This window comes from Homo sapiens, chromosome 9 (assembly GCF_000001405.40).
Source record: "Homo sapiens chromosome 9, GRCh38.p14 Primary Assembly".
NCBI classification, from domain to species: Eukaryota; Metazoa; Chordata; class Mammalia; order Primates; family Hominidae; genus Homo; species Homo sapiens.
The window spans coordinates 111,074,272-111,101,717 of record NC_000009.12 but is presented as its reverse complement, the minus strand read 5'-3'; the positions used below and the strand labels follow the sequence as shown (position 1 = coordinate 111,101,717).

The 27,446-nt window shown below is 38.7% G+C and overlaps 1 pseudogene, besides 2 other annotated features; it reads left to right on the top strand.

The window, feature by feature from the left end:
• Positions 1,750 to 2,734: an enhancer, noted in NCBI's record as "OCT4-NANOG hESC enhancer chr9:113861264-113862248 (GRCh37/hg19 assembly coordinates)". NCBI's record gives its function as "activates a minimal SCP1, AML or CMV promoter by ChIP-STARR-seq in naive H9 embryonic stem cells {active_cell/tissue: H9 hESC(naive)}" and the evidence as "EXISTENCE:reporter gene assay evidence [ECO:0000049][PMID:30033119]".
• Positions 4,305 to 4,391, top strand: RNY4P18 (RNY4 pseudogene 18; annotated as a pseudogene).
• Positions 23,243 to 23,292: an enhancer, noted in NCBI's record as "active region_28792". NCBI's record gives its function as "activates an Ori minimal core promoter by ATAC-STARR-seq in GM12878 lymphoblastoid cells {active_cell/tissue: GM12878}" and the evidence as "EXISTENCE:reporter gene assay evidence [ECO:0000049][PMID:35858748]".

Below are 27,446 nucleotides of genomic sequence, written 5' to 3'. Positions count from 1 at the left end.
AAACATCTACAACAAGCTATTGTTTTACTGCAAGAAGAACAACAGAATCAGAGTTAGAAGCTTCAAATGCAGGCCGGGCATGGTGGCTCACGATTGTAATTCCAGCACTGTGGGAGGCCGAGGCGAGCAGATCATCTGAGGTCAGGAGTTCAAGATGAGCCTGGCCAACATGGCGAAACCCCGTCTCTACTAAAAATACAAAAATGAGCGGGGCGTGGTGGTGTGCACCTGTAATCCCACTTTCTCAGGAGCTGAGGCAGGAGAATTGCTTGAACCTGGGAGGTGGAGGTTGCAGTGGCCAAGATCGCACCACTCCACGCCAGCCTGGGCAATAGAGCAAGACTCTGTCTCAACAACAACAACGACAAAAAGAAGCTTCAAGTGCCTGTTTATTGTCTAGCTGGTCTAGCTGCAGTAAGTTTTCTCTACTGTAAAATAAGGATAGTAGAACTACTTAAGCCAGCTGTAAGAATCAATTATGGTAATGTGGGCAGAATTTATTTCTAAACTATAAATACTGTTCTATGAATACATGAGTTAACCAGTATGTTCCATTCTTTCTAAAACTGGGGATACACACACACACACACACACACACACACACACACGACTTTTTTGTACTTCATCTTGCTTGACTATCTTGTGTAATGTTCCCTTGAATGGTAAGAGGATAGTTTTGTCATTTTCAAGGGAGAGCAATTTTTTTTATTAAGATTAGGCCTCGTTATTCTAGTCATCATATATCAATGCAACTGAATATAAAAGTGCTGCTCAAAAATTCAACCTGTTCTCAAAAAAATATGAAGATGAAACTGGATCCTATTTAGAGAGAATTGTTGTAAGCCACAAAAGTCAGTGATTGACCTGAGCACATATCTTTATTTCACCTGAAAGAACCAGTAGGCTCACAAAGCCTTTTGCTCTTTTGAGAGCAGGTGGGAGTTAAACACTGATTTTGGACCTAGAAATGAAGAACAGCTTCTCTTGCCAACCCCACAGGCATTTTCTGTTTTTACACAAGGCAGTATACTTCCTGGTATATAGAAAGTGCTCAATAATAAGGTGGCCATACGTCTCGTTTTGTTCAGAGACGTCCTGTTATGAGTCTGTTGTCTTGGTGGAATGAATACAGCACCCCTTATACTCTTTAAATTGTCTCTGGATAATAAATTGTATGTTCATCTCAACCCCTGTACATATTGAATAAACAAATGAATGAATTCTTAGCCTCATCCAACCTGAATAAAACAAACATCTTAGTGATAGCACTGCGTTTCATGTCTAACAGAAATTTGACTAGCAGTGTTTTACCCACAAGCGTAATTCGACTATAGAAATAAAGATTCAGGTTTCCTAATAGAGAAGTCAAAAGATTCTTCTCTCTCCCCACTTCTCTCTTAACTTTCCGCATTTTCTTCTTTAAAAAAATTAACACAGTGATCAGACCTGCCAGAGCCATCAAGCCATTCATGATGTTAAGTTCAAGGGAGCAAAAGGCTGTTGTGATGGAAACATCGAGATCTTATAATCACCAGATTTCGGTGTTATTTTCTTATGTGGGATTTTAAACTTGAACCTGGTGGTGAGATTTGTAACATTTATCTCCAAATTTAACATTGGCTCCATTCGATCAGGACTTCGAGTTGCCTAAATCCGAGTTTCAACAATGGGATTAATATTGTTGTGGGTTTATTTGGTTTGCCCTTTGACCCCTCCATTTCAGAACACCTAGAGATCATGGGACAACAAGTCCTTTCACATGTGTAAAACAAACTACTGCTGGTCCTCTGGGAGACTTGCTAAGAATAAATGCACATTTATAGAGGTTCTTTGAATACTCTAAAGGCAGGAGCCCCAGGCAGGCAGAGCAGCACTGCTAAAATCCTCTCCTCTAGGCAGAAAGTGTGACACAAGCGCTCCAATTAGGATTAACAGAAGCTGGCAGGCCGGGGGCCCTGTAGTGGACTACAAAAAAAAAAAAAAAAAAAAAAAAAGCCCTGTGAAGCTATGGGTAATTGCTCCCACGTATTTACTTAACACCTGTGAGCTGGGGCAAAGGAAAGTTTATGGGGTAGGATCCTGCTAAGGAAACAAATGCCTAAGGGAATGGAGGAGGCTAATTAAGAAGGAAAATCGGAAGCCTGCGGGGATTTCATTTCCTTAAGTGCTCCAGACAATAGTGGGCTGATTTACCAGGCTCTGCTGATGTCATCTTGCGTTCCTACTTTGCGTACAAATTCCTTGCTAAATGTTAGCCCCCAGGCATTTGAAAACATCTGCTGCCCCTGGGACAGAGTATATAATCGGGCCTCCAATCTGAAGCCAGAAACTGTAGAGAATACAGATAGAGCACTAGGCTAAGCATGAAGGGAAAAAGTCCTATCTCAGATTGGCAGCTAGATCAGATAACCTAAGCAGATGTGAACATAGGATAGCACACAGGGAGGTGTCGCAGGGTGTCAAAGAGCATGCAGTAAAATGTAGAGCCAAGAAGTACTACTAAATAGTATCTGAATGTCTCAGAAGTCATTACCTGGGTGGGGGTGGAACTGGGACAGTCAGGATCAGAGTTAGATGAGGAACAATAGGGCACCTGTCCTGTGTGCCCTTCATAAAGGAAACATGGGGGCAAGGTCTGCAGGGTCCTGGTCAGCAGACAGGTGCACTGGGATAAGAGTGGAGAGAAAGGCAAGGTTCAAGCATGAGTTCAAGTTGGTCGAACAGATTCTTAATGGTTGGTGCAGATTCTTAATGGAGGCCTCCAGTTGGGAAGCAACTTATCTGGCTCTGCCTGACATCCTGAATTATCATTAAAAATGGTACTTCTTAAACGAAGAGATAAATCAGACTCATGTGAACTGAGAAGTCACCTGAGCTCTTGAGTGAATTTCCAATGGCTTCTCAACTTCTTGTTTGTAATTTGTCTCTTAAGAGAAGGAGCTTCACATTCTGTAATCCAAGATTGTTTCAAGAGTTTGAAGCCTTATTCTAACATGCCTGAGTGTCACCTTACAAATGACTTGTCTTTGCTTATTTTGATAAGGAGTTCAAGAGAACATTTGTTGGGGTAACAATTACTGAGGAGGGGGAACATATAAAGTGGTTACAACCTGGGCTTTGGATATAGATGCAAACAGATTTAAGGAACTGCTTGAGACACTTTCTAGACCTTTTCTCATCGATAAAGTGAAGCTAATAATGTCGAGGGGTTAAATGAGATTGAAGCTTGTGTCTTTATATAGTAAGCCCTCATTGAATGAGACCAGATGCTTTGTAAATGGATTTATTAGGAAAAAAAATTACTGCCGCTCCTTGCCAGTACTGGAGACTGAAATCTGGATTTCCCTGCTTTCTTTACTCCAGTCATCTTTAGGGGGTTATCATTTGGTCAATCGTTGTTGATAGTCTCTGGCTTTGCCTGACAATGTTCCCCTCTGCCTGCAAGCTCTTTCATAATAGAGAGAAATCTCATTAAGTGTCCCAGAGCTGGTCTTGACCTCTGAGATGGCTAGGTAGAGATATATAACCCTCCGTATCTTACGTTTAGGCTGCACAAATTCTATTATCATAGTAAAAATAATATTGGAGCACAGGGGATTCAAGGGGCAGTGAAAACACCCTGTATGTTACTGTAAGGGTAGATACATGCCATTACACATTTGTCTGAATGCACAGAATGAACACCACCAACAGTAAACCCTAATGTAAACTATGGACATTGGGTAATTATGATGTGTCAACACAGGTTTATCAATTACAACAAATCTACCACTCTGCTGGGGATTTTAATAATCAGGGAGGCTATGCATGTGTAGGGGGCAGGGAGTATATGGGCAATCTCTGTACCTGCCTCTCAATTTTGCTGTGAACCTAAAGCTACTCTTTAAAAAATGTCTTTTAAAAAATCTAACTTTTTTGAATATTTACTGCATGCCAGGGACTATCTTAATGCTTTAAATTCATTTTCTTGTTTAATCCAATAATGACTCCATGAATGGTCAATATTAAATGTGTATTCTTTGTTAAGAAAAATCAGATATAGAGAGAAATAAAAAATAAAACCTCAAAAAATAAAGAAAGATTTTTTCAGAGGGTTGTCAGAGGATTATTTTAAATTGCAAGCTCCTTTCCTATTCTGTAGTCATTAAAAATATCATTTGATTTACCAAAATTTTATAGACAATTTTTCTGCATACATCTTTTCTATAAGGCAAGGTGCAGTTAAAGATTTTAGGTTTTGGACAGTGTTCTTTCAAGTCAAGTTCTTCTAATTCTTTAATCTGATGGGTGAAGAAGGGAAAGGAGGCTGGTCCGATGGGTTATCAGAACTTATTAACATTAGTGTCACTAAAGTTGGAAGACAATCCCCCACTGCTAAATTTGACTGGCTTAAGAAGAAGGAAGGAAAGAAAAAAAAAAAAAACTTCAGGAGCCTTGAGAAGAAGCAATTAAAAACCCAAAAGTTCTTTCTCTTGGGGCTTCCAAGACAGTGCTCACTGAGGCACATTGCTGTTCCCTGGGCAACTTGGAGTTGATCAAACAAGAAGTAGCCTGGTTTGTACAGAGCTTGAGCTTTACTGCTCATTCCTAAGAATTGTGCCATGCAGTTTCTCCTTTCTCTCTTTCATCAACCTTTGGAGCTCCATGTTGTGTGCCACCTGCATCACTTCTTTCTGCTCCCTAACCCTTACTCTGAGACCTTACCCACTCTCCTTTTTCTCCCTGTGCCCATTAAAGTCTACTCTCCTATTCTTTTGTCATGCTAAGGCAGTGCTTTTTAAAATGTGGTACAAGAATCATGCATGTTGGAATTCCAAATGGGACTTAAAAAAATGCAGATTCTGGGCCCCATTCCAAACTTACCAAAGAAAACTCTCTGAAGGGAAGGCACTCCGTTGTTGGTTTGCAAATTTTGATAACCAATGCAGAAAATTAGAATAGAGGGTTCTCTCCCAGGGAACTTAATGATTTAGCAGATATGGTCACTTTATACCAAAGACTATTAAAGTAAAAGAAGAAAAAACATCTTTTTATAGCAGTGATTCTCAGCCTGGAGTTTATATTAAAACCCCCTGGAAAGATTTAAAAAATTGTTTGAAAAACTGCCCAGGCCATACTCAAGACCAATTATATTAGAATTTCTGGAGAGAGAATCCACGCTCAAGACCAATCATAATTAGAATCTCTGGAGAGAGGATCCAGGCATCAATATTTCTGAAAGCCTTTCTAGGTGATTTTAATGTACAACCACTGTTAAGAGCTACATTCTCTTCTGCAGAGCAGAAGGAGGCTATGGAAAAATAGAGTAATGCTTCTCAAACTTAATGTGCATGTGAGTCACCTGGGGATCTTATTAAAATGGAGATCATGATTCTGTGGGTCCGGATGCTGCCTGAGAATCTGTATTTCTAACAAGCTCCCAGGTCCTCAGACCACACTTTGAGTAACAAAGCACCGAGCCCTTGTTCTCAAACCTTAGATTAGAATCAGCAGGGGGGCTTCACAATAGGTTGGTGCCCCAGCTGCACTCTAGACCAATTAAATCAGAATTTCTAGGAGTGGGATGTCGGCATCAGTAGTTTTTTAAGCTTCTCAGGTGATTCCAATGTACAGCAAGGTCTGGGAACCAGTGCAGAAGAGGGGTGGTCAATTTTTACTAAGTCCCACAGAAAATAGGAGATTTTAAATATACTGAAACCCAAAAGAGCAGAGGAGGTTGATCCTCTGATAATTGCTGATGTCAAAATCTGCCATCATGGAATTTTTAAAATCTTAATTTGTTTCACTCGGTTTATGAAAAAATTATTGTGTTCCCCCTTAGGATTTCCACCTTCCCCACCCCTCCCTTGTTACACCCTCACGGTGGGTGAGTACTCGTGTTTCTTCAATTTTCTGGTCCCAAGCATGCCTGGGATGAACTTCATGCCCAGTTAGCTTGTCATATCACATTACTTTGCTCAGACATGGGCTAAGCTGGCTTTCTAAATAAGACATCAAGTCCAGAAAATTTAAACACATGTGGGGGTCATAGGAAATCTGTTTAAAACAAACACTTTGGTGCACATGGAAACAAGAAGTTTAATGACATTGTCTAACAAAGCCGTCTGGAAGGACTCCTCAGAGCTCTCAAATGGCTCTTGGTTATCAGTTGCTGGGAACGTCCCAACTGGCAGGAAGCACATCAGTTTTATGGCATGTAGGGGCTGTTAGACGGAAGGATTTTAGAATTTCACTCCGTGTTTAACTCCATAGGGATAGATACTTCATGCTTCTCTCTGTGATATAACAGAATCTTGTTTTTCAAAAAAGCAGTCCTAATAATAAATTCATACCAGGGCTATTTGATTTGACCTTTATCTTTTCCCAGTTTGTGCTAACATGGGTCTTGTCTAAGTTCTGTAAGTGAACCCCATTGCTCTTCTCCTAAAGTTGTTCCAGCAAATGATATAACCAGGCAAGCCTTACCTCATGATTTTTATGCCTCCTGTAGGATATGACATGCAAGTTTCCTGACTCCCTTGCCTGTCTAAATCCTCTGGGTTCTTTCTTGTGATAAAGGTCTCAGCACAGTATTCCACACATTTCATGCTCTCCTCTTCACAGAAACAGGTTGAAAAAGACAGCATGCTTTCAGGAGAGTCTCATTGAGAGAAGATGGACAGGGGGTAGTACATAAAATGCTAATTGAAAGAATAATGGTACTATTCTTGAAAGCTATAAGCAATTTTCTTCATGCTGAGAAGTGACAAGGGAAGATTTACAAATTCAAAGAATCTGACTTTGTTGACTTTAGAAAATCTCACTGTATCCCTTTTGCTAAGACGCCAGAGAAAAGGGCCTTTTGCCATGATTCCAATAAGTGTGTCCTGCTCTAGTTATAATAGTCCCACCTCCCGGTCCATGCTGAGTCACTGCTAAAGTTTTTAGTCATGGACAGTCAGAAGCAAGTCTGTGTAAACTCTCCTGGCCCCTCCTGGCTTCACCATCTCTTCCTCTTTCTCTAACTCTACTTCTCAGAAGACAATGCTCTTTGGTTTCTAATTTTCTAGAATCCAGAATACTCCCTCCCCTTTAGGGAAGTGAAATAGGGACTCTGGGGATATTCCACCCCCTGACCATCAAAGACACAGGGAAGGGGTCATCCTGTGGCTAAAAGCCAGGGGAGATCAGAACCAAGGCCAAGGTTGAATTTCTCTCTGAACTAACCCTCAACTCTGACCTAGAAAGTCCCCCTTTTGAGGTTCTTTGTCATAGATACAGCAACAGCAATGCAGAATCCCACAGAGAGGTCACAATGTTCTTGTTCTTCCCATTAATACAGGCCAGGATCAGGGGCTTTAATTTTGAGATGAACCTCTCACACTTATCTTAGTAAATCTTGTTGCTGAAGTAGGTCCCCGATAAATAAACTCTTGAGTTTAATCAAATATTAAAATGAGGCTGGGTACAATGGCTTACACCTATAATCCCAGCACTACGTGAGATGAAGATAGGAGGATTGCTTGAGCCCAGGAGTTCAAAACCAGCCCAGGCAACATAGTGAAATCCTGTCTCTACCAAAAAAACAAAAACAAAAACAAAAACAAAACAAAACATTAAAATGGCAATTATTCCTTTGTATCTTTCAGAACTAATCTCAGAAGCGTCACTGAGTGTGGAGTAACATGCCCTTTAACTCTGTGTGGCTGAATATTAAGACAATGTTCTCTATTTTTCTATGCAACCTACAAGTATTGTTAAATGTTGATTATATGAGAGCTTACAGAGGGAGCTCTAAACAAGAAATGCCTGCCCTTAAGTATAGACAACACCTTTTGGGAAAGAAGGCACACATATTTGAAAAGATGAGAGAGAGCAAAAAGTATAAGCGAGGGAGTCACCCCCGTGGGCTAAAGTGGTCATGGACAGCTTTGGAGAGAGGTTTTGGAGAAACCTCTGGGGACTTGGTGTTCAGGGGCACCCTTATAGGGGTGTGGAAGGGTGATATATGCAATCCTGATACCATCTCTGTAGATGCAGAAGTGGATTATATATGACATGTATGATCATGTATGTGTGTATGTACACACATGTATGTATGTGTCACAGATGTTGGACTCTATAAAGGCTAAACAATGACTTACATCAGATTTTTAATTAGGAATTTAACTTTAATAGTTATTCAGATTTTCATTTTTTTGCATCAGTTTTGGGAATTCATTTATTTCAGCTAAATTGTCAAAGTTATTGACATAAGCGATTTCTAATGATTTCTTCTTCTTCTTCTCCTTCTCCTTCTCCTCCTCCTCCTCTTCCTCCTTTTTCTTCTTCATCATCAATTTTTGAGACAGAGTCTCACTCTGTCATCCAGAGTGCAGTGGCACAATCATGGCTCACTGCAGACTTGACTTGCTGGGCTCAAGTGATCCTCCCACCTCAGTCCCCCAAGTAGCTGGGACTACAAGTGCTTGCCACCATGCCTGGAAAATTTTTTAAATTTTTCATAGAGACGGGGTTCACACTGTGTTGTGCAGGCTGGTCTTGAACTCCTGGGCTCAATTGATCCCCAAATCTCTAGTCTCCTAAAGTGCTGTGATTACAGGCATGAGCCATCATGCCTGGCCCTGAGGATTTCTTACTATTTTTAATGTCAGTAGGATTCATAGTGATATCCTTTTTTTAGTTCCTCTGATACTGGTTATTTGTATTTTCTCTTATTCTTGATCAGCCTGATGAAGCTTCTTAATTTTACTAAACTTTACAAAAAGTCAACTCTTAATTTCACTGATTTTCTCTATTTTTTTTGTTTTCTCTTTCATTGATTTTCATTGTTTTATATATTTTTCTTCTACTTACTTTGGGCTTAATTTTGCTCTTCTTTTTCTGATTTCTTAAGGTGGTCACTCATGATCAATTTTAGTCTTTTTTTTTTTCTAATATAGGCATTTAAAGCTATATATTTTCTTCCAAGTACTGCTTTATCTTATCCCATAAATTTTGGTATCTTGTATTTTCATTATCATTCAATTCAAATTATTTTATAATATAATTCCTTTGTGATTTCTTCTTTCACTGATTGCTTTTTTTTTTTTTTTCCCAGAGACAGGATCTTGCTTGCCCAGGCTTGACTGCAATGTTATGGTCATAGTTCACTATAAGCTCGATCTCCTGGGTTCAAGCCATCCTCCTGCGTTAGCCTCCTGAGTGGCTAGGACTATAGGGATGCTCCACCATGGCCAGCTAATTAAAGAATTTTTTTTTTTTCCCCATAGAGATGGTGATATGGTTTGGCTGTGTCCTCACCCAAATCTCAACTTGAATTGTATCTCCCAGAATTCCCATGTGTTATGGGAGGGACCTAAGGGGAGGTAATTGAATCATGGGGGTCAGTCTTCCCCATGCTAGTCTCATGATAGTGAATAAGTCTTATGAGATCTGATGGGTTTATCAGGGATTTCCACTTTTGCTTCTTCCTCATTTTTCTCTTGCTGCCACCATGTAAGAAGTGCCTTTCACCTCCTGCCATGATTCTGAGGCCTCCCTAGCCATGTGGAACTGTAAGTCCAATTAAACCTCTTTTTCTTCTCATTCTTGTGTAAGTCTTTATCAGCAGCCTGAAAATGGACTAATACAGTAAATTGGTACCAGAAGTGGGAAGTTGGGGGTGGCACCTGAGGAGAATCAATATAATTTTGCCTGGCAACTGCCTCAGGGGAGGCCATCACCATTGCCTCTGGCAGAGCAGGGTTCATCTCCTCAGACAAAGGTGGAAAGGCTGATGGCAGCACGAGTTGGGGAGGGGATGTTGCCACTACTGGAGATGGGGAAGCTGTTTCTTTTGGCAAAAAAGTTTCATCAGAGTTTATAAACTCAGCGTCCCCAGCTTCATCAAGGTCCTCCCACATATCCCCGTCCCAAGTTGCAGGGTCCCATTCTTTTCTAATCAATGCCCTCACTTTAACTGTAGATACCTGGCGAGGCTGGGATGCACCTTTCATTGCAGGTCAGCCACTTGCATGATAAGAGCTGTGTCTGTTTTTCCAATTTCAGCTCTTTCTCTACAGGAGATAAGATTCTCACTCAGGGCAATCTTGGCAGATTTGAGGCTCAGTATCTGCTTCTGAAGCCAGGAGACAGAATCCCTGAGTTCATCATTTTCTTTTATCACTTTGTCCACTGAACTTAGGAGCAACCAACCAGCTTCATTACGTACCTTGGCTCTCCACATATGATCAAAGGTATTAAGCATAGAGTCACTAAACTCCTTGTCTCTCATGAGTGCTGAATCAGGAGAGTCAAATGCATTTATTTTGCATAATTCTAAACAGTTTATGCCAAGGACTATCAGGGTTTTCCATACTATTAGAAGTAGAATCCTTAACATTTTTGGGTCTAATTGTATTAAGCAGCCAACTCCAGAAATCCCAAAACCAACGAAAGAACTCCATCCTTAATATTCTGTTCCTCTAAAACCATTCCTGGTACCAAAGTCTGTATTAGTCAAGGTTCTCTAGAGGGACAGAACTAATAGGAGATGTATATATATATATATGCACATATACATATATACACATATATATACATATATACATACATAGAGAGAATATCTATTTTTTTATATATATATATATGACTTTATTAAGTATTAACCTACACAATCACAAGTTCCCAAAATAGGCTGTCAGCAAGCTTGAGGAGCAAGGAGAGCCAGCCCAAGTCTCAAAACTGAAGAACTTGGAGTCTGATGTTCTGGGGGCAGGAAGCATTCAGCGTGGGAGAAAGATGTAGGTTGGGAGGCTAAGCCAGTGTCACCTTTTCATGTTTTTCTGCCTGCTTATGTTTGCTGGCAGCGCTGATTAGATAGTGCCCAACAGATTAAGGGTGCCTCTGCTTTCCCCCGCCCACTGACTCAGATGTTAATCTCCTTTGGCAACACCCTCACAGACACACCAAGGATCAATACTTTGCATCCTTCAATCCAATCAAATTGACATTCAGTATTAACCATCACAGATGTGTTCTTGCTATGTTGCCCATACTGGTCTTGAACTCCTGAGCTCAAATGATCCTCCCATCTTGGCCTCTCAAAGTGTTGGGATTACAGGCGTGAGCCACCATGCATGGCCAGCTCATTGATTACTTATTGTGTATTTTAAAATTTTCACCTAGTTGGATGTCTTAGATATCTAATTCTTTTTTATTCTTTTATTTAATTTAATGCCATTATGGTCAGAGAAATCCTCCTTGTGCTTTTAATATTGTTAAATGTATCAAAATTCCTTTTTTTTGAGATGGAGTCACCCAGGCTGGAGTGCAGTGGCGGGATCTCGGCTCACTGCAAGCTCCACCTCCCGGGTTCACGCCATTCTCCTGCCTCAGCCTCCTGAGTAGCTGGGACTACAGGTGCCTGCCACCATGCCCGGCTAATTTTTTTGTATTTTTAGTAGAGACGGGGTTTCACCGTGTTAACCAGGATGGTCTCGATCTCCTGACCTTGTGATCCGCCCACCTCCGCCTCCCAAAATTCTGGGATTACAGGCGTGAGCCACCGCGCCTGGCCTAAATGTATCAAAATTCTTTTCATGGCTCTAAGTATAGTCTATTCTAATAATTATGTACACTAAAAAGAATGTATATCCTACTGGTATTGATTGTATTGTTTTAGAAATATCAGTTGGTAATGTTGATCAAATAATCTATGTCTTTGCTGATATTATGTCTAGTTCTATCAATCGCTGAGACAGGTATGTCAGCAATTAAAATCTCTAACAATATCTGTAGCAATTAAAATCCATAATTGTGAAACTGTCTATTCATTCTTTATGTATTTTGAAGCCCTATTACTGGCTGCATACACGTGCATAGCTCTTACGCTTTTCTGATGAATCAACTCTTTTATCATTATGAAATGTTCTTCTATATCCCAGGTAATACATTTAGTCATGAAACCTATTTTATTGGATGTTAATGTAGACACTCCAGCCTTCTAATGTTTACTGTTTGTGTGATACATTCTTTTCTATCTGCTTACTTTCAACCTATATATGTTTTTATGTTTAAAGTGTTTTTTTTTTGTGGACATCAAATAGCTGGGTCTTGTTTTTGGATTAATTCATTCTCACAATTTTTACATTTCAATTGGAATGTTTATGTTTCAATATTTAATGTATTGATATGATTGGCTTGGGTCTACCATTGTATTTTCTGTTTTCTACATGACTTCTCTGGTTTTGTTTCTCTGTTTTTTCTTTTCTGCATTTTTTGTTTGGATCATGCTTATTTTAATTTTTTTTTTTTTAGAATTCCATTTTATTTTCATGGTTAAATAGCTATACTTTGTGTCATTTTTAAGTGGTTACTATAGGGATTCCAATATACCTCTTCACCCTTTTACAATCCACTTATGGTTAATAATGTATTAACTCATGTAAAATATAGAAATATTGCAAGCTTTTAAAGTCTATGTACTTCCTATCATTTATGCTATAACAGTTAAATATATTATATCTGATTATATTATAAAACTGATAAGACAGTTTTATAATCTGTATCTTAAATAGTTTTGTGGTTAATAAAGAAATTGGCTGGCATGGTGGTTCATATCTGTAATCCCAGCAGTTTAGGAGGCTGAGGCAGGAGGATTGCTTGAGCCCAGGAGTTCAAGACCAGCCTGGGCAACATGGTGAGACTCCATCTCTACAAAACATACAAAAACTAGCCAGGTGTGATGGTGCACACCTGTATTCCCAGCTACTTGGGAGGCTGAGGTGGGAGGATCATTTGAGCCTGGGAGGTCAAGGCTGAATGAGCTGCGATTGTGCCACTGTACTCCAACCTTGGCAACAAAATGAGACCTTGTCAAAAAAAAAAAAAAAAAAAAAAGAAAGAAAGAAAGAAAAAAAGGAAGGAGGGAAGGAACGAACTAAGAGGAAATAGTAAAAAAGAAAAAAGGTCTTTTGCATTTGTCCAGATGATATTTACGGTTTCTGATGCTCTCCATTCTTTTCTGAGGATGCAGATTTCAATGTAGTATCATTCTCCTTCAAAAGAAACTGCCCAGTCAATTTCTTTATTAATCACAAAGCTATTTAAGATACAGATTATAACACTAGACAAATGCGAAAGACCTGTTTTTCTTTAGATACATGGAGAATTTCCTTTAGCATTTCTTGTAGCACAGATCTGCTGGGGATGAATTTTCTTAGTTTTCTTTTATCTGAACTTATCTTTATTCTACCATAATTTTTTGAAAGATACTTTTCATAGATATAAAATTCTAGGTTGACAGGCTCCTCTGTTCTCTCCAATATTCTAAAGACATGGTTCCACTCTCTTCTAGTCTCCACAATTTCTAATGAGAAGTCATCTAATGTTTGGATTTTTTATTCCTCTGTGTGTAGTATGACATTTTTCTCTTGTTAATTTAAATATTTACTCCTTATCTTGGGCTTTCAACAGTTTAACTCTGATATGCCTCAGTGCTACTTTATGTTTATCATGCTTGGTGTCTATTGAGTGTGTGGTATCTGCAAATTTTTGTCTTTCTTCAAATTTGGGAAATTTCTGGCCACTGTACCACTTTCTTTCTCTCTCTCTCCCCACTCCCTTTCTTCCCTCCTTTTCTCTCTCTCTTTCTCTCTTTTTCTCACCTCCCTCTCCATATTACGATAACATATACAACCATGTATCATCTAACAGGTCCATGAGTCTGTTCATTTTTAATTAATTTTTTTCTCTTTGTTCCTCACTGTGGATAATTTCTACTGCTCTACCTTCAAATTTGCTTACTTTCTACTGTCATCTCCACTCATCTGTTAAGCCTACCAAGTGAACATTTTATTTTATCCACTGTATTTTTTAGTTCTAAAATTTCCATTTGTTTCTTCTTGCTTCCATTGCTTTACTGATATTTTCTATTTCTCTGCTGAGATTTTTATCCATTGTAAACATATGTATATATATATACATATATGTTTATATATATATGTCTATGTTACCTCATGAAGATAGTTATAATAGCCATTTTAAAATCCATGTATTAGTTACAACATCTAACTCATTTTGGGATCTGATTTGTTTTTTTTTTTCCTCGTATTCTACAGGTTCCACTTTCTTGGTTCTTTGTTTTATGGGTAATTTTGGATTGGATTTTAGATATGATTAATGTTGACTTTTGGAAGCTTGTGGAAGTCTTGGATTCTGTTATTTTTCTCTGATGATTGGCTTTTTTCCTTTGTGTTTGCAAGTCTTTTTTTTTTTTTTTTTTTTTTTTTGCTGGGTGCAAACTGCAGACTGTTTCATGAATAGCAGCTCTAGTCTTTGGTTCAGATCTTTCAAATTTATCTGAGCTATGTTGTTATTGTTGTTGTTTTATAATTTCAACCTTTATTTTTAGATTCGGGGGTGCAAGTTTGTTACCTGTATATATTGTGTGATGCTGAGATTTGGGGTACAATTAATCCCATCACCCAGGTACTGAGCAAAGTACCCAATAGTTTGTTTTTCAGTCCTTGCCATCCTACCTCCCCACCTCTAGTAGTCCCCAAGCTGAGCTACTTTGAATCTGTTCTGCATATGCATAGTTTAGGAGTCAGTAAATGATTTGAGTAGAAAAACATTCTAGAATCCCTTCTCTAGCTCTTTCCCTCCCAAGATTCCTCCACTCTTCTCAGTGAACACAGTTTCCTGGCTTTACTCTTATGGTTCCCAGGCTAGAAAGATAGCAGTTTTTTCATGGTTACCCTCAGTGTCACTTAGCACATTATATAGACTGCACTTAACCTAGGCTAAAAGCCATGGCGATGCAAATATAATATATAGTCGTGTGACACATGATGACGTTTCAGTCAATGACAGACTGCATGTACGACAGTGGTTCCATGAGATTATAATACCATATTTTTACTATACCTTTTCTATGCTTAGATACACAAATACTTACCATTGTGCTAAAATTGCCTATAGTACTCAGTACAATAACATGTGGTATAGGTTTGCAGCCTACTAGCAATAGGCTATATCATATAGGTTAGGTGTGTAATAGGTTATACCATCTGGGTTTATGTAAGTATACTCTATAATGTTCACACATTGATGAAATCACCTAACGATGCATTTCTCAGAAGGTATCTCCATCATTAAATGATGCATGACTGCGCTCATGAGGCTCGTCATCTCCCCTCCTCCAAGTAAATGTGCCCTCATCACCAAAATCTTTCTCTGTACACTTCCCAGTGGTTTACTTTTGTATTTTTACAAGTTTTATAGCTTGTTTTCTTCGGGAAGAAGGGTCATTCAGTGGGAACTATTTGTTACAACTGGAAGAATTCTCCCAATTATTTTAAAAAGAAATGTAAAAACCAAAAAAATCTTTTACAGTTAATACCACATTTGGCGTATTTATCAAGTTTACTTTTATGGCCCTTTATATTTTGCTGTCTTTTAAATTTGCTGCCAAGTTTATCATATTACATTATTAAAATGATTAAGTTCTGAGCCAGAACCACCAGCTAATATATTCTTGGATTCTTGATGCTCAGAAAATATAAAGTAATAAATGCTTACTATTTGCACTGTTAAATTTTGGGCTAATTTGTTACACAGCAACATATTACTAATATGGTCATTTAACATAGTTAGTTATAATTGCTGTTTTTATGTCCTTGTCTGCTCATTCTATAATCTCTTTCATTCCTGGGTCTGTTTTGTCTTTTTTTTTTTCTATCCGGGCTGCTGTAACACTGGGTCTGTTTCTATTTTCTAATTTTTTTAAACTTGTTTTGTAATAAAAGTTCCACATAAGAAGAAGAACAACAAGAATTTCCATACTTCTTGACACATATAATAATACTTTTTAAAAAGTGTGATAATAGAAATCAGTTGCCTGTCTATACATTAACAATGAACTACTGGAAAGAACTTAGGAAGACAATCCCATTTATGATAGCACCGAAAAGAAGAAAATACTTAAGAATAAACTTAACTAAGGAGGTGAAAGATTTATATACTGAAAATTACAAAACAGAGATGAAAGAAATTAAGCAAGACACAAACAAATGGAAAGACTTTCCATGTTCATGGATTAGAAGACTTAATATCGTTAAAATGTCCACGTTACCCAAAGTGATCTGCAGATTCAATGCAGTCCCTATCCAATTCCAAAATACATATTTTACAGAAACAGAAAAAAATTATATAATTCATATGAAACCATAAAAGAAGATGAATGGCCAAATCAATCATAAGGGTGAAGAATAAAGCTGGAGGTATCACACGTTATGATTTCATAATATATTCTGAAATGATAGTCTCTTCAATAAATGATGCTGGGAAAACTGGATATCCGTATGCAGATGAACAAAACTAGACCCCCATCTCTCATTCTATAAAAAAATCAACTCAAAATGGATTGAATACCTAAAGATAAAACCCCAAACTATGAAACTATTAGAAGAAAACAGGGGAAATGCTTCAGGACGCTGGTCTGGGAAAAGATTTTATGAGTAAGATCTCAAAATCACGGGCAACAAAAGCAAAATGAAAGCCATACCCATTAAGCAGTCACTCTTGATTCTCTCCTCTCCATATTCCCTGGCCACCACTAATCTGCTTTCTTTCTCTATGGATTTGCCTATTCTTAATATTTCATATACAGTATATTGAATTCTGTACTATTGTAACTTTTTGTGTCTGTCTTCTTTCCCTTACCATAATGTTTTCAAGTTTTCATGTTGTAGCGCGTATCAGTACTTCATTCCTTTTTATGGCTGAATAATAGTTCATTGTGTTCATATACCATATTCTGTTTATGCATGTATCAATTGATGGACATTTGGGTTGTTTCTACCTTTTGGCTATTGTGAATAATGTTGCTATGAACATTGATGTACAATTTTTGTTTGAACACCTATTTTTAGTTCTTTTGATTATATACCTAGGAGTAGAATTGATAGGTCATGCAGCAATTCTATGCTTAACTTATGAGGAGCAAACAAAATGTTTTTCATATTGGCTGTATCATTTTACATTCTACTGGCAATGATTTCTCCACATCCTTGCCAATACTTGTTATTTTTCATATATTTTTATTAGGGCTATTCCACTGAGTATGAAATACTCTCTCATTGCTGTTTTGATTTGTAATTACCTAATGACTAATGACATTGAGCACATACAGTAATTTTTTATTGGATGCTGGACATTGTGATTATTACCTTGTTGAGTGTCTGGATCTTGCTGCCCTCCTTTAGTCAATGCTGGATTTTATTCTGGAAGGTAACAAATATTTCTAGATCTTCTTGATCTTTTCAAGGCATTGATCTTTTCAAAACCCTGTTGGAGCATGTTTAGGTAGCATTTACTCTAGAAACTAACCCCATTTCTAGCGGGTACTGATTATAAGGTGCAGATTCTGATAAATGTTCTGAGTGTTCAGTGATGTGTCTCCATTTGGGTTGGTCAGAACTGAAATGTCCCTTGATACTGAAAGTTCTGGTGGTTTAACTTACAGCTGCACATTAGTTTTATTTCTCTAGTAGCTGCTCCTGTTTAGTCTCATCCTATACATATACAGCTTATTATTTGGTCAAACATTCTAAGGTTTATGGAGCAATTTCTCTATGAAACTTATTCTTTTCTGCTACTCCATACAAATTTTAGCCATTTTGGCCTCCTTGAAATCTGATATCTGTGTCCTCAACTTACTAAGACTTCTGGCCGGGTACAGTGGCTCACACCTATAATCCCAGCACTTTGAGAAGCTGAGGTGGGTGGATCACTTGTGGCCAGGAGTTTGAGACCAGTCTGGCCAACACGATGAAACCCCATCTCTACAAAAATAAAATACAATAAAATAAAATAAATAAAATAAAATAAAATAAAATAAAAATTAAATTAAATAAAAAAGACTTCTGTGTTGTGCTTAGATTCCCCCTCCTTGAGTCTTCATGAGGAAAGCTGGGGTAATCACTGGACTCCACTCATTTGTTTCTCTTCTTTCAGGTATCATAGTCTTGTGCTGCCTATCATATAATATCTAAAAATAGTTGTTTTATATATTTTGTCCAGTTTTCTAGTTGTTTACAGTGGGAGGGCTAGTCTGGTACCAGTTACCCCATCATGGCCAAGGATGAAAATATAGTTTACTTTTAGGTACCAAATCACAAGAGCTAGAAATCTTCTTTTCTAAAGCTCCCATTCATCTGAAAACCTCCATCGCCTTTCATTGGTCAGAGTGGGGTAATTAATATGCTTATATCCGAACCAATCTCTCTGGTGTTCAGACTACTAATTGTAAACCAATCACTCTGGCAAGGTGAACTATATTCCCTAATTTGTTTAATCCTATCAAGGCCTGCTCTTGAAACTGGAGGTGGAGTCAGGTGACCTAAAGTATTTGAACCCCATGATGGAAGAGTGGATACCTGAACTAAAATTATGAATAATGTTTAGTTGAAAGAAGGATGGATTGTATTTTGAACATAGGTAACAAATATTCACTACACTCATTTTATAAATGAAACCAGAAGGACAGAGAGGTTAAGTGAGCTGCCCAATATCTCAGAGTTGATAATGACTGAATTAGGGCTTAAACTCTCACCTATTTGACTCCAAAGACAATGAGGATGATGGAACAATATTTGAATAGAACTTTGCAAATTGTAAAACCTTTACAGAACCTTCTCTTTATTTTACGGAACCTTCTCTTATTTTAATTCTTTCATGAACCCAGTGGTTTAAACAAGCCAGACATTGGCTCCATTTTATAGTTGAGGAAACTGTGTCTTAGAGAAGTAAAGAGACTGATTCAAAAATACAAGGCTTGTGTAGAACTGGGACTAGAACCCAAACCCTAGTTTTCTTTCCATTGAATATGATCATTCCAACATTCTTTTAGTTGTTTAGCCCAGTTTTTGATCTTTGTCCTTTTTCTTACCTGTTAAAAAGAATAGATTCCAGAACTTCCTTGCAATCCACTTTTTTGGTTGTTTTTTAATTTTACAGCTGAGTTTCTTTCACTGGGAGTTGCAAACCACATAATGAAAGATAAAATAATGTGTTTATTTTATCCCTTTTCTTGGGGAAAGGTCTTGGTTAATGGGATAAGTTAGCTTCTCTTGGCAATTTGAGATAATCAGAAATGGATTACTTGAATCATTTTAATCTCTATCATTTTAATCTTTTCATGCAGAATTAAAGATGGTCATAAGTCATGAACTACAGATAAGAAGAGTTGCAATACATTTTTTTTTTTTTTCTAAAAGAAAAAAAATTACAAGACAGTATCTTAGAAAGAAGGGTTTTGGAGTCTGAGAGATCTCAATTAAACCTCAGCCCAGCTACTCAGTCACTTAACTGTTTTAAGCCTTAATTTTCTCCATTGTAAAATGAAGACAAGAATAAGCTCTTGGCAGGGTTATTGTAAAAATGAAATGAAATAAAGTTCCTGGTGTAGCACCATTAAGTAGTTGATGTTCAATAGTGATAATAATTATTTTCTTAATTCTGTGAAGAATTTTGGTGCCTTGGAGCTAGGGCAGTAACTCTTATCTCTGCCATGTCCTTTTTCCCGGCCTCCTTAACACGCACCAGGAAGAACCTCAGTGTCCTCAAGTCTTAGAAAAGCTGGTTAGGTTCCATATGAACTTTAAAGTAGTTTTTTCCAATTCTGTGAAGAAAGTCGTTGGTAGCTTGATGGGGATGGCATTGAATCTATAAATTACCTTGGGCAGTATGGCCATTTTCGCGATACTGATTCTTCCTACCCATGAGCATGGAATGTTCTTCCATTTGTTTGTATCCTCTTTTATTTCATTGAGGAGTGGTTTGTAGTTCTCCTTGAAGAGGTCCTTCACATCCCTCGTAAGTTGGATTCCTAGGTATTTTATTCTCTTTGAAGCAATTGTGAATGGAAGTTCACTCATGATTTGGCTCTCTGTTTCTCTGTTGTTGGTGTATAGGAATGCTTGTGATTTTTGCACATTGATTTTGTATCCTGAGACTTTGCTGAAGTTGCTTATCAGCTTAAGGAGATTTTGGGCTGAGACAATGGGGTTTTCTAGATATACAGTCATGTCATCTGCAAACAGGGACAATTTGACTTCGTCTTTTCCTAATTGAATACCCTTTATTTCCTTCTCCTGCCTAATTGCCCTGGCCAGAACTTCCAACACTATGTTCAATAGGAGTGGTGAGAGAGGACATCCCTGTCTTGTGCCAGTTTTCAAAGGGAATGCTTTCAGTTTTCGCCCATTCAGTATGATATTGGCTGTGGGTTTATCATAGATAGCTCTTATTATTTTGAGATACATCCCATCAATACCTAATTTATTGAGAGTTTTTAGCATGAAGTGTTGTTGAATTTTGTCAAAGGCCTTTTCTGCATCTATTGAGATAATCATGTGGTTTTTGTCTTTGGTTCTGTTTATATGCTGGATTACATTTATTGATTTGTGTATGTTGAACCAGCCTTGCATCCCAGGGATGAAGCCCACTTGATCATGGTGGATAAGCTTTTTGATGTGCTGCTGGATTCGGTTTGCCAGTATTTTTTTGAGGATTTTTGCATCAATGTTCATCAAGGATATTGGTCTAAAATTTTCTATTTTGGTTGTGTCTCTGCCCGGCTTTGGTATCAGGATGATGCTGGCCTCATAAAATGAGTTAGGGAGGATTCCCTCTTTTTCTATTGATTGGAATAGTTTCAGAAGGAATGGTACCAGTTCCTCCTTGTACCTCTGGTAGAATTCAGCTGTGAATCCATCTGGAACCAAAAAAGAGCCCACATCGCCAAGTCAATCCTAAGCCAAAAGAATAAAGCTGGAGGCATCATGCTACCTGACTTCAAACTATACTACAAGGCTACAGTAACCAAAACAGCATGGTACTGGTACCAAAACAGAGATATAGACCAATGGAACAGAACAGAACCCTCAGAAATAACGCCACATATCTACAACTATCTGATCTTTGACAAACCAGAGAAAAACAAGCAATGGGGAAAGGATTCCCTATTTAATAAGTGGTGCTGGGAAAACTGGCTAGCCATATGTAGAAAGCTGAAACTGGATCCCTTCCTTACACCTTATACAAAAATTAATTCAAGATGGATTAAAGACTTAAACGTTAGACCTAAAACCATAAAGACCCTAGAAGAAAACCTAGGCATTACCATTTAGGACATAGGCATGGGCAAGGACTTCATGTCTAAAACACCAAAAGCAATGACAACAAAAGCCAAAATTGACAAATGGGATCTAATTAAACTCAAGAGCTTCTGCACAGCAAAATAAACTACCATCAGAGTGAACAGGCAACGTACAAAATGGGAGAAAATTTTCGCAACCTACTCATCTGACAAAAGGCTAATATCCAGAATCTACAATGAACTCAAACAAATTTACAAGAAAAAAACAACCCCATCAAAAAGTGGGAGAAGGATATGAACAGATACTTCTCAAAAGAAGACATTTATGCAGCCAAAAGACACATGAAAAAATGCTCATCATCACTGGCCATCAGAGAAATGCAAATCAAAACCACAATGAGATACCATCTCACACCAGTTAGAATGGCGATCATTAAAAAGTCAGGAAACAACAGGTGCTGGAGAGGATGTGGAGAAATAGGAACACTTTTACACTGTTGGTGGGACTGGAAACTAGTTCAACCATTGTGGAAGTCAGTGTGGCGATTCCTCAGGGATCTAGAACTAGAAATACCATTTGACCCAGCCATCCCATTACTGGGTATATACCCAAAGGACTATAAATCATGCTGCTATAAAGACACATGCACACGTATATTTATTGTGGCACTATTCACAATAGCAAAGACTTGGAACCAACCCAAATGTCCAACAATGATAGACTGGATTAAGAGAATGTGGCACATATATACCATGGACTACTATGCAGCCATGAAAAAGGATGAGTTCATGTCCTTTGTAGGGACATGGATGAAAGTGGAAATCATCATTCTCAGTAAACTGTTGCAAGGACAAAGAACCAAACACCGCATATTCTCACTCATAGGTGGGAATTGAATAGTGAGAACACATGGACACAGGAAGGGGAACATCACACTCTGGGGCCTGTTGTGGGGTGGGGGGAGGGGGGAGGGATAGCATTAGGAGATATACCTAATGCTAAATGATGAGTTAATGGGTGCAGTGCACCAGCATGGCACATGTATACATATGTAACTAACCTGCACGTTGTGCACATGTACCCTAAAACTTAAAGTATAATAATAAAATAAAAATTAAAAAAAAAAAAAGAAAAGCTGGTTAGGTAAGGCTGGGCGCGGTGGCTCACGCCTGTAATCCCAGCACTTTGGGAGGCCGAAGCGGGCGGATCCCGAGGTCAGGAGATCCAGACTATCCTGGCTGACACGGTGAAACCCCGTCTCTACTAAAAATACAAAAAATTAGCGGGGCATGGTGGCACGTGCCTGTAGTCCCAGCTACTCGGGAGGCTGAGGCAGGAGAATGGCGTGAATCCGGGAGGCGGAGCTTGCAGTGAGTCGAGATCGCGCCACTGCACTCCAGCCTGGGCGACAGAGCGAGACTCCGCCTCAAAAAAAAAAGAAAAAAGAAAAAAAGAAAAGCTGGTTAGGTAAGATGATTACCTTCTTTTAGCCTGGAAGCTGTAGTTAACCCTGACCTTTGAGAGTAGAGCAGAGGGTAGTTAACAGGTGCTAGAGCCAGATTGTCAGTCCCTGGCTGTGTGACCTTGAGCATCTTTCTAAGCTTCAATTTCAACATCTGTAAAATAAGGATGTGATAATAAATGTTTCTATTTCTAGAATTAGTTAAAAAGGAAATGAGATAATCTGTGTGAAATACTCAGTGGCTCACACATAGTAAGAACTCAAAAAGTCCTGCCATATATTGCTGAAATTGGAGAAGAACTTGGAGTGGAGAATGAAGATGATTTCTTGGTTCTCCATGAACACTGCACTTAACTCCCAATATAGGGTTTCCCAACTAGATTGAGCTACTTGTTAGCTTCCCCTAATTGCCTACATTATCTTTTTTCTTTGTTCTTTTTTGTTTCCCTAAGGGCCACATTTCCCCCACCTCCTCTCTGGAAATTGAACTGCAGAAGTTGTAATAGGTATGTGCAATAGGAAATGCTATGTAGGGCAGATTGACTGTGGCTAAAGCCCGGAATTCCCCCAAAAGAGGATGAGAAAGGTTACTGAGTTAGAAAATGTGGCAAGCAGAAGATGTTGAGGGGCATGGAGTAGTGGCCACAGGGAACTTGTGGAAATGATGTTAACACAGTGGTGACAGCAAAAGTTTGAAGACACTGGGAGGGTAACTATGGGCTTGAGGGGCAGAGTAAAAATACATTTCTAGGTCTGAGAATGAATAAATGAGTCATGAGATTTAAGGAGGTCAGATAATAAATTCAACTAGTGGCAGCCCAGTGGGATGCCCAGTGGGAAACAGAGGAGTCACAAAAGGTTTCACCACCCAAAGATCTTGAAAAGAAACTTTATTTATTTTATTTTATTATTATTATTTTTTTGAGATGGTGTCTCGTTTTGTTGCCCAGGCTGGAGTGCAGTGATGTAATCTCAGCTCACTGTAACCTCCACCTCCCAGGTTCAAGCAATTCTCCCACCTCAGCCTACCGAGTAGCTGGGATTACAGGTGCCCACCACCACGCTTGGCTAATTTTTGTATTTTTAGTAGAGACAGGCTTTCACCATGTTGGCCAGGCTGGTCTCAAACTCCTGAACTCAGGTGATTCACCTGCCTTGGCCTCCCAAAATGCTGAGTAGGAAACTATATTTATTGGGCAGCTGTTATATGCTAGTTAGTGTCACATATATGTCACCTCACATAATCCTCACAGCAACACTGTGGGGTAGGTACTCTTATCCCATCCATTTTGAATGAATAGAAGTGCATTTTGAATAATAACTTTTCAAGGTCACATAACTAGTCAATGTTAGAATTAGCCATGTTATTTCATTCACTTTAAGATAGTTACTTGCCTTCTGAAAAATCTGTAAAAGAATTCATTTTATTTTATTTTATTTTATTTTATTGATACACAATGTACATATTTTCAGGGTGTATGTAATATTTTGATATGTTCATATAATATAAAACAATCAAATCAGGGTAATTGTGATATCCTTCACCTAAAACATTTCTCTTTTCCTAATGTTGGGAACATTTTAATTATTTTCTACTGGCTATTTTGAAATACACAATTAATTATTTTTTACTATAGTCACTCTACTGCTTCATCAAACAGTAGGCTTATTTCTTCTATCTAACTGTATTTTTGTACCCAATAATCAATCTGTCTTTATCTCACCCTCTCCCATCCCCTTCCTAGCTTGTGAAATAATTCTATTAGAGATGACAACAATTTTATATAAACAAGAATTAAGTAGATACATTATTGCTAAAAACCGGTCACTAAGAGAAACAGCAGTAAGTGGAAAGTAAATTTGTCATAGTGAGGACAATGATTGATAAGCTAGGAATTACATGCACTGTAAATGCCAATTTAGAAATAATCTAAACTTATTTGAGTGTTCAAATGAGGACTATGTGCATTAGAATAGTTTTTAATATAAAATTTACTCTCTTCCCACAACACAAGAGTACTCCCTACTAAATCTGGTATCTGAAACTGCAAGTATCCAGAGAATTCGCTGCCCCACCAAAGTTTCCTAGTAGTGAGATTTTGATGTGTCCTGATTTTCTACCCTAGAGCAAAGGAGGACTGTCTTTAATATTTCCCCATGATCTGCCTCTGAGAGAATAAGATTGGGGATGAGAAAGTTAGATTCTTACTCTCTGCAGTAACAGAGCTTTGTAGAAGCAAGTTGAGGATTATTTGTTTGTTTGTTTGCTTGTTTGAGATGGGTCTCACTATGTTGCCCAGGCTGCTCTCAAATTCTTGTACTCAAGTGATCCTCCTGCCCCAGCCCCGACAGTGCTGGGATTACAAGAATGAGCCACCACTGCACTCGGCCTGGGGAAGTATGTAGGACTGGGTTCACTCTCAGGTATGATTTAGCATTTTTTGTTTTCAGGAAATAGAGAGATGCCTTTACACTAAGAAGAGGAACTCACTCTAAAAATCTAATGATTCTTTTTTTTTTTTTGAGACAGTCTCACTCTTGTTGCCCAGGCTGGAGTGCAGTGGTGTGATCTCGGCTCACTGCAACCTCCAGCTCCAGGGTTCAAGCAATTCTCCTGCCTCAGCCTCCTGAGTAGCTGGGATTACAGTTTCCCACCACCACCACGCCTGGCTAATTTTTGTACTTTATGTAGTAGAGACGGGGTTTTGCCATGTTGACAAGGCTGGTCTCAAACTCCTGACCCACCCACCTCGGGTTCCCAAAGTGCTGGAATGACAGCCGCTGTCGTGAGCCCCTATGCCCTGCCACATCTAATGATTCTTTGGTGTTGTAACGATGAATGTGCATAGTGCAGGGCTGTCTCTTGTAGTCAAGGACCAGTCCCCGTGAGCAGGGCTTGGATTATAATCCCCAGTAAGCAAGAAGAGGAAGTGAGTAAGAGAAAAATTTGATGAAGAAAGAAAAATACTAACAGGTTCCAGGTTTCCTTTGTTTTTCTTTCTTTTCCTTTCTTCAGCTTAGGGTGGGAGCTAAATCACAACTTTCAAAAGGTCAATATAAATGTTATTCCCTTAGGGCAACAGAGATGGAATCCTTAAAAATAAGTAAAAATAACCAAAAGTAGACATCTTTTGGAGAATTTTCAGTTCATGGACAGTCCAGAGAGAGTTGTAGGATTTCCTTTCCATCCTACCAGAAGCATACTTTTACTGTCTTCCCCACTAACAAATTCTAATAACTGCTAGGTAAAATGGTGGAAGTACAAAAACAAGAATATCATAGCAGCACAGGTCAAATTTGAGAAAGTTACTTTTCTTACACATTCTATGGCCGTGGGAGGAAATAGGGATATAGACCTGTGGGGAAATAAATGTCTTGGTATAAGAATACACTTAACAGGGGGGAAAGAAGTGACAACCTGTGAGATTTGCTACGTAAGGAGAAAAAAAATCATCTGCTGTCTTCATATCAGGCTTTCGCTCTCCTTTCCAGGCCAAGAGTACGGCTAAAAGTTATTTCTTGCTGAAAGGCTGCTGAGGGAAGGGGAATCCCATAGTTCCAGGGCTTGATTCCTGACTAAAACATTGTCAGTTCAAAACTTCCAGCAGTTCTTTGGTTTTGTGTGTGTGTGTATGGTGGGAATTAGGCAAACATTTTTTTGTTATGGGAAGACCACCACAAATACCCTATTCTGGATTGGAGAGGAGAGAGACCATGTAGTTTCAAGGAACTAAAATACTCTGCTATTCCTTTTTTTTTTTTTTTTTTTTTAAGACAGAGTCTCGTTCTGTTGCCCAGGCTGGAGTGCAGTGTTTCTATCTTGGCTCATTGCAACCTCCACCTCCTGGGTTCAAGTGATTCTCGTGCCTCAGTCTCCCAAGTAGCTGGGATTACAGGTGTGTGCAACCATGCCCAGGTAATTTTTGTTATTTTTAGTAGAGACAGGGTTTTGTCATGTTGGCCAGAATGGTCTGGAACTCCTGGCCTCAAGTGATCCACCTGCCTCGGCCTCCCAAAGTGCTTGGATTACAGGCGTGAGACACCATGCCTGGCCAGTACTCTGCTATTCCTTTTGACATCATTGAGGATAGAGTTGGATCTTTGCAGATTTTGTAACCTTTAAGAAAATGTTGCTTTTCTAAATATGATTTAGACTGTACTGTTTCTTAAATTTATTTATTATTCTTAGGAAGTGTGTGTATGTGTGCTTTCATAGTTATCCACAGGCCACTCACTGGGAGTGGGGTATAGGACTAGGAAAGACCAAAAGCAATGATACGATCAAAGTCTCTCAGAGATCATACTTGGAAACTCATGGTGCTAATTCAGTCAGAATAACCTAGACTTTTGGAAGTATCTTTAAGTCTGACTATTTTATCCTGAAGCTGATAGGCTTTAAATATGTGTTTCCTCTGAATCTCACGTTGAAATGCAATCCCCAGTGTTGGAGATAGGGGCTGGGTGGGAGGTGATTGGAGCATGAGGGTGGATTTCTCATAAATGATTTAGCACCATCCTCTTGGTGCTGCTCTTGCAATAGTGAGTTCTTGTGGGATCTAGTTGTTGTAAAGTGTGTGGCAACTTCCTCTCACTCTCTCTTTTGCTTCTGCTGCCGCCATGTGAGATGCCTGTTCCCTCTTCACCTTCTGCTATGATTAGAAGTTTCCTGAGGCCTCCCCAAAAGCTAAAATTGGCACTATGCTTCCTACACAGCCCGCAGAACCATGAGTCAATTAAACTTCTTATAAATTACCCAGTCTCAGGTATTTCTTTATGGCAATTCAAGAATGACATAATACAGATTCTTTTGTTATAGAAGTGAAGTTTCTATTGAAGAGACTCTCTGCCATCAAACAAGA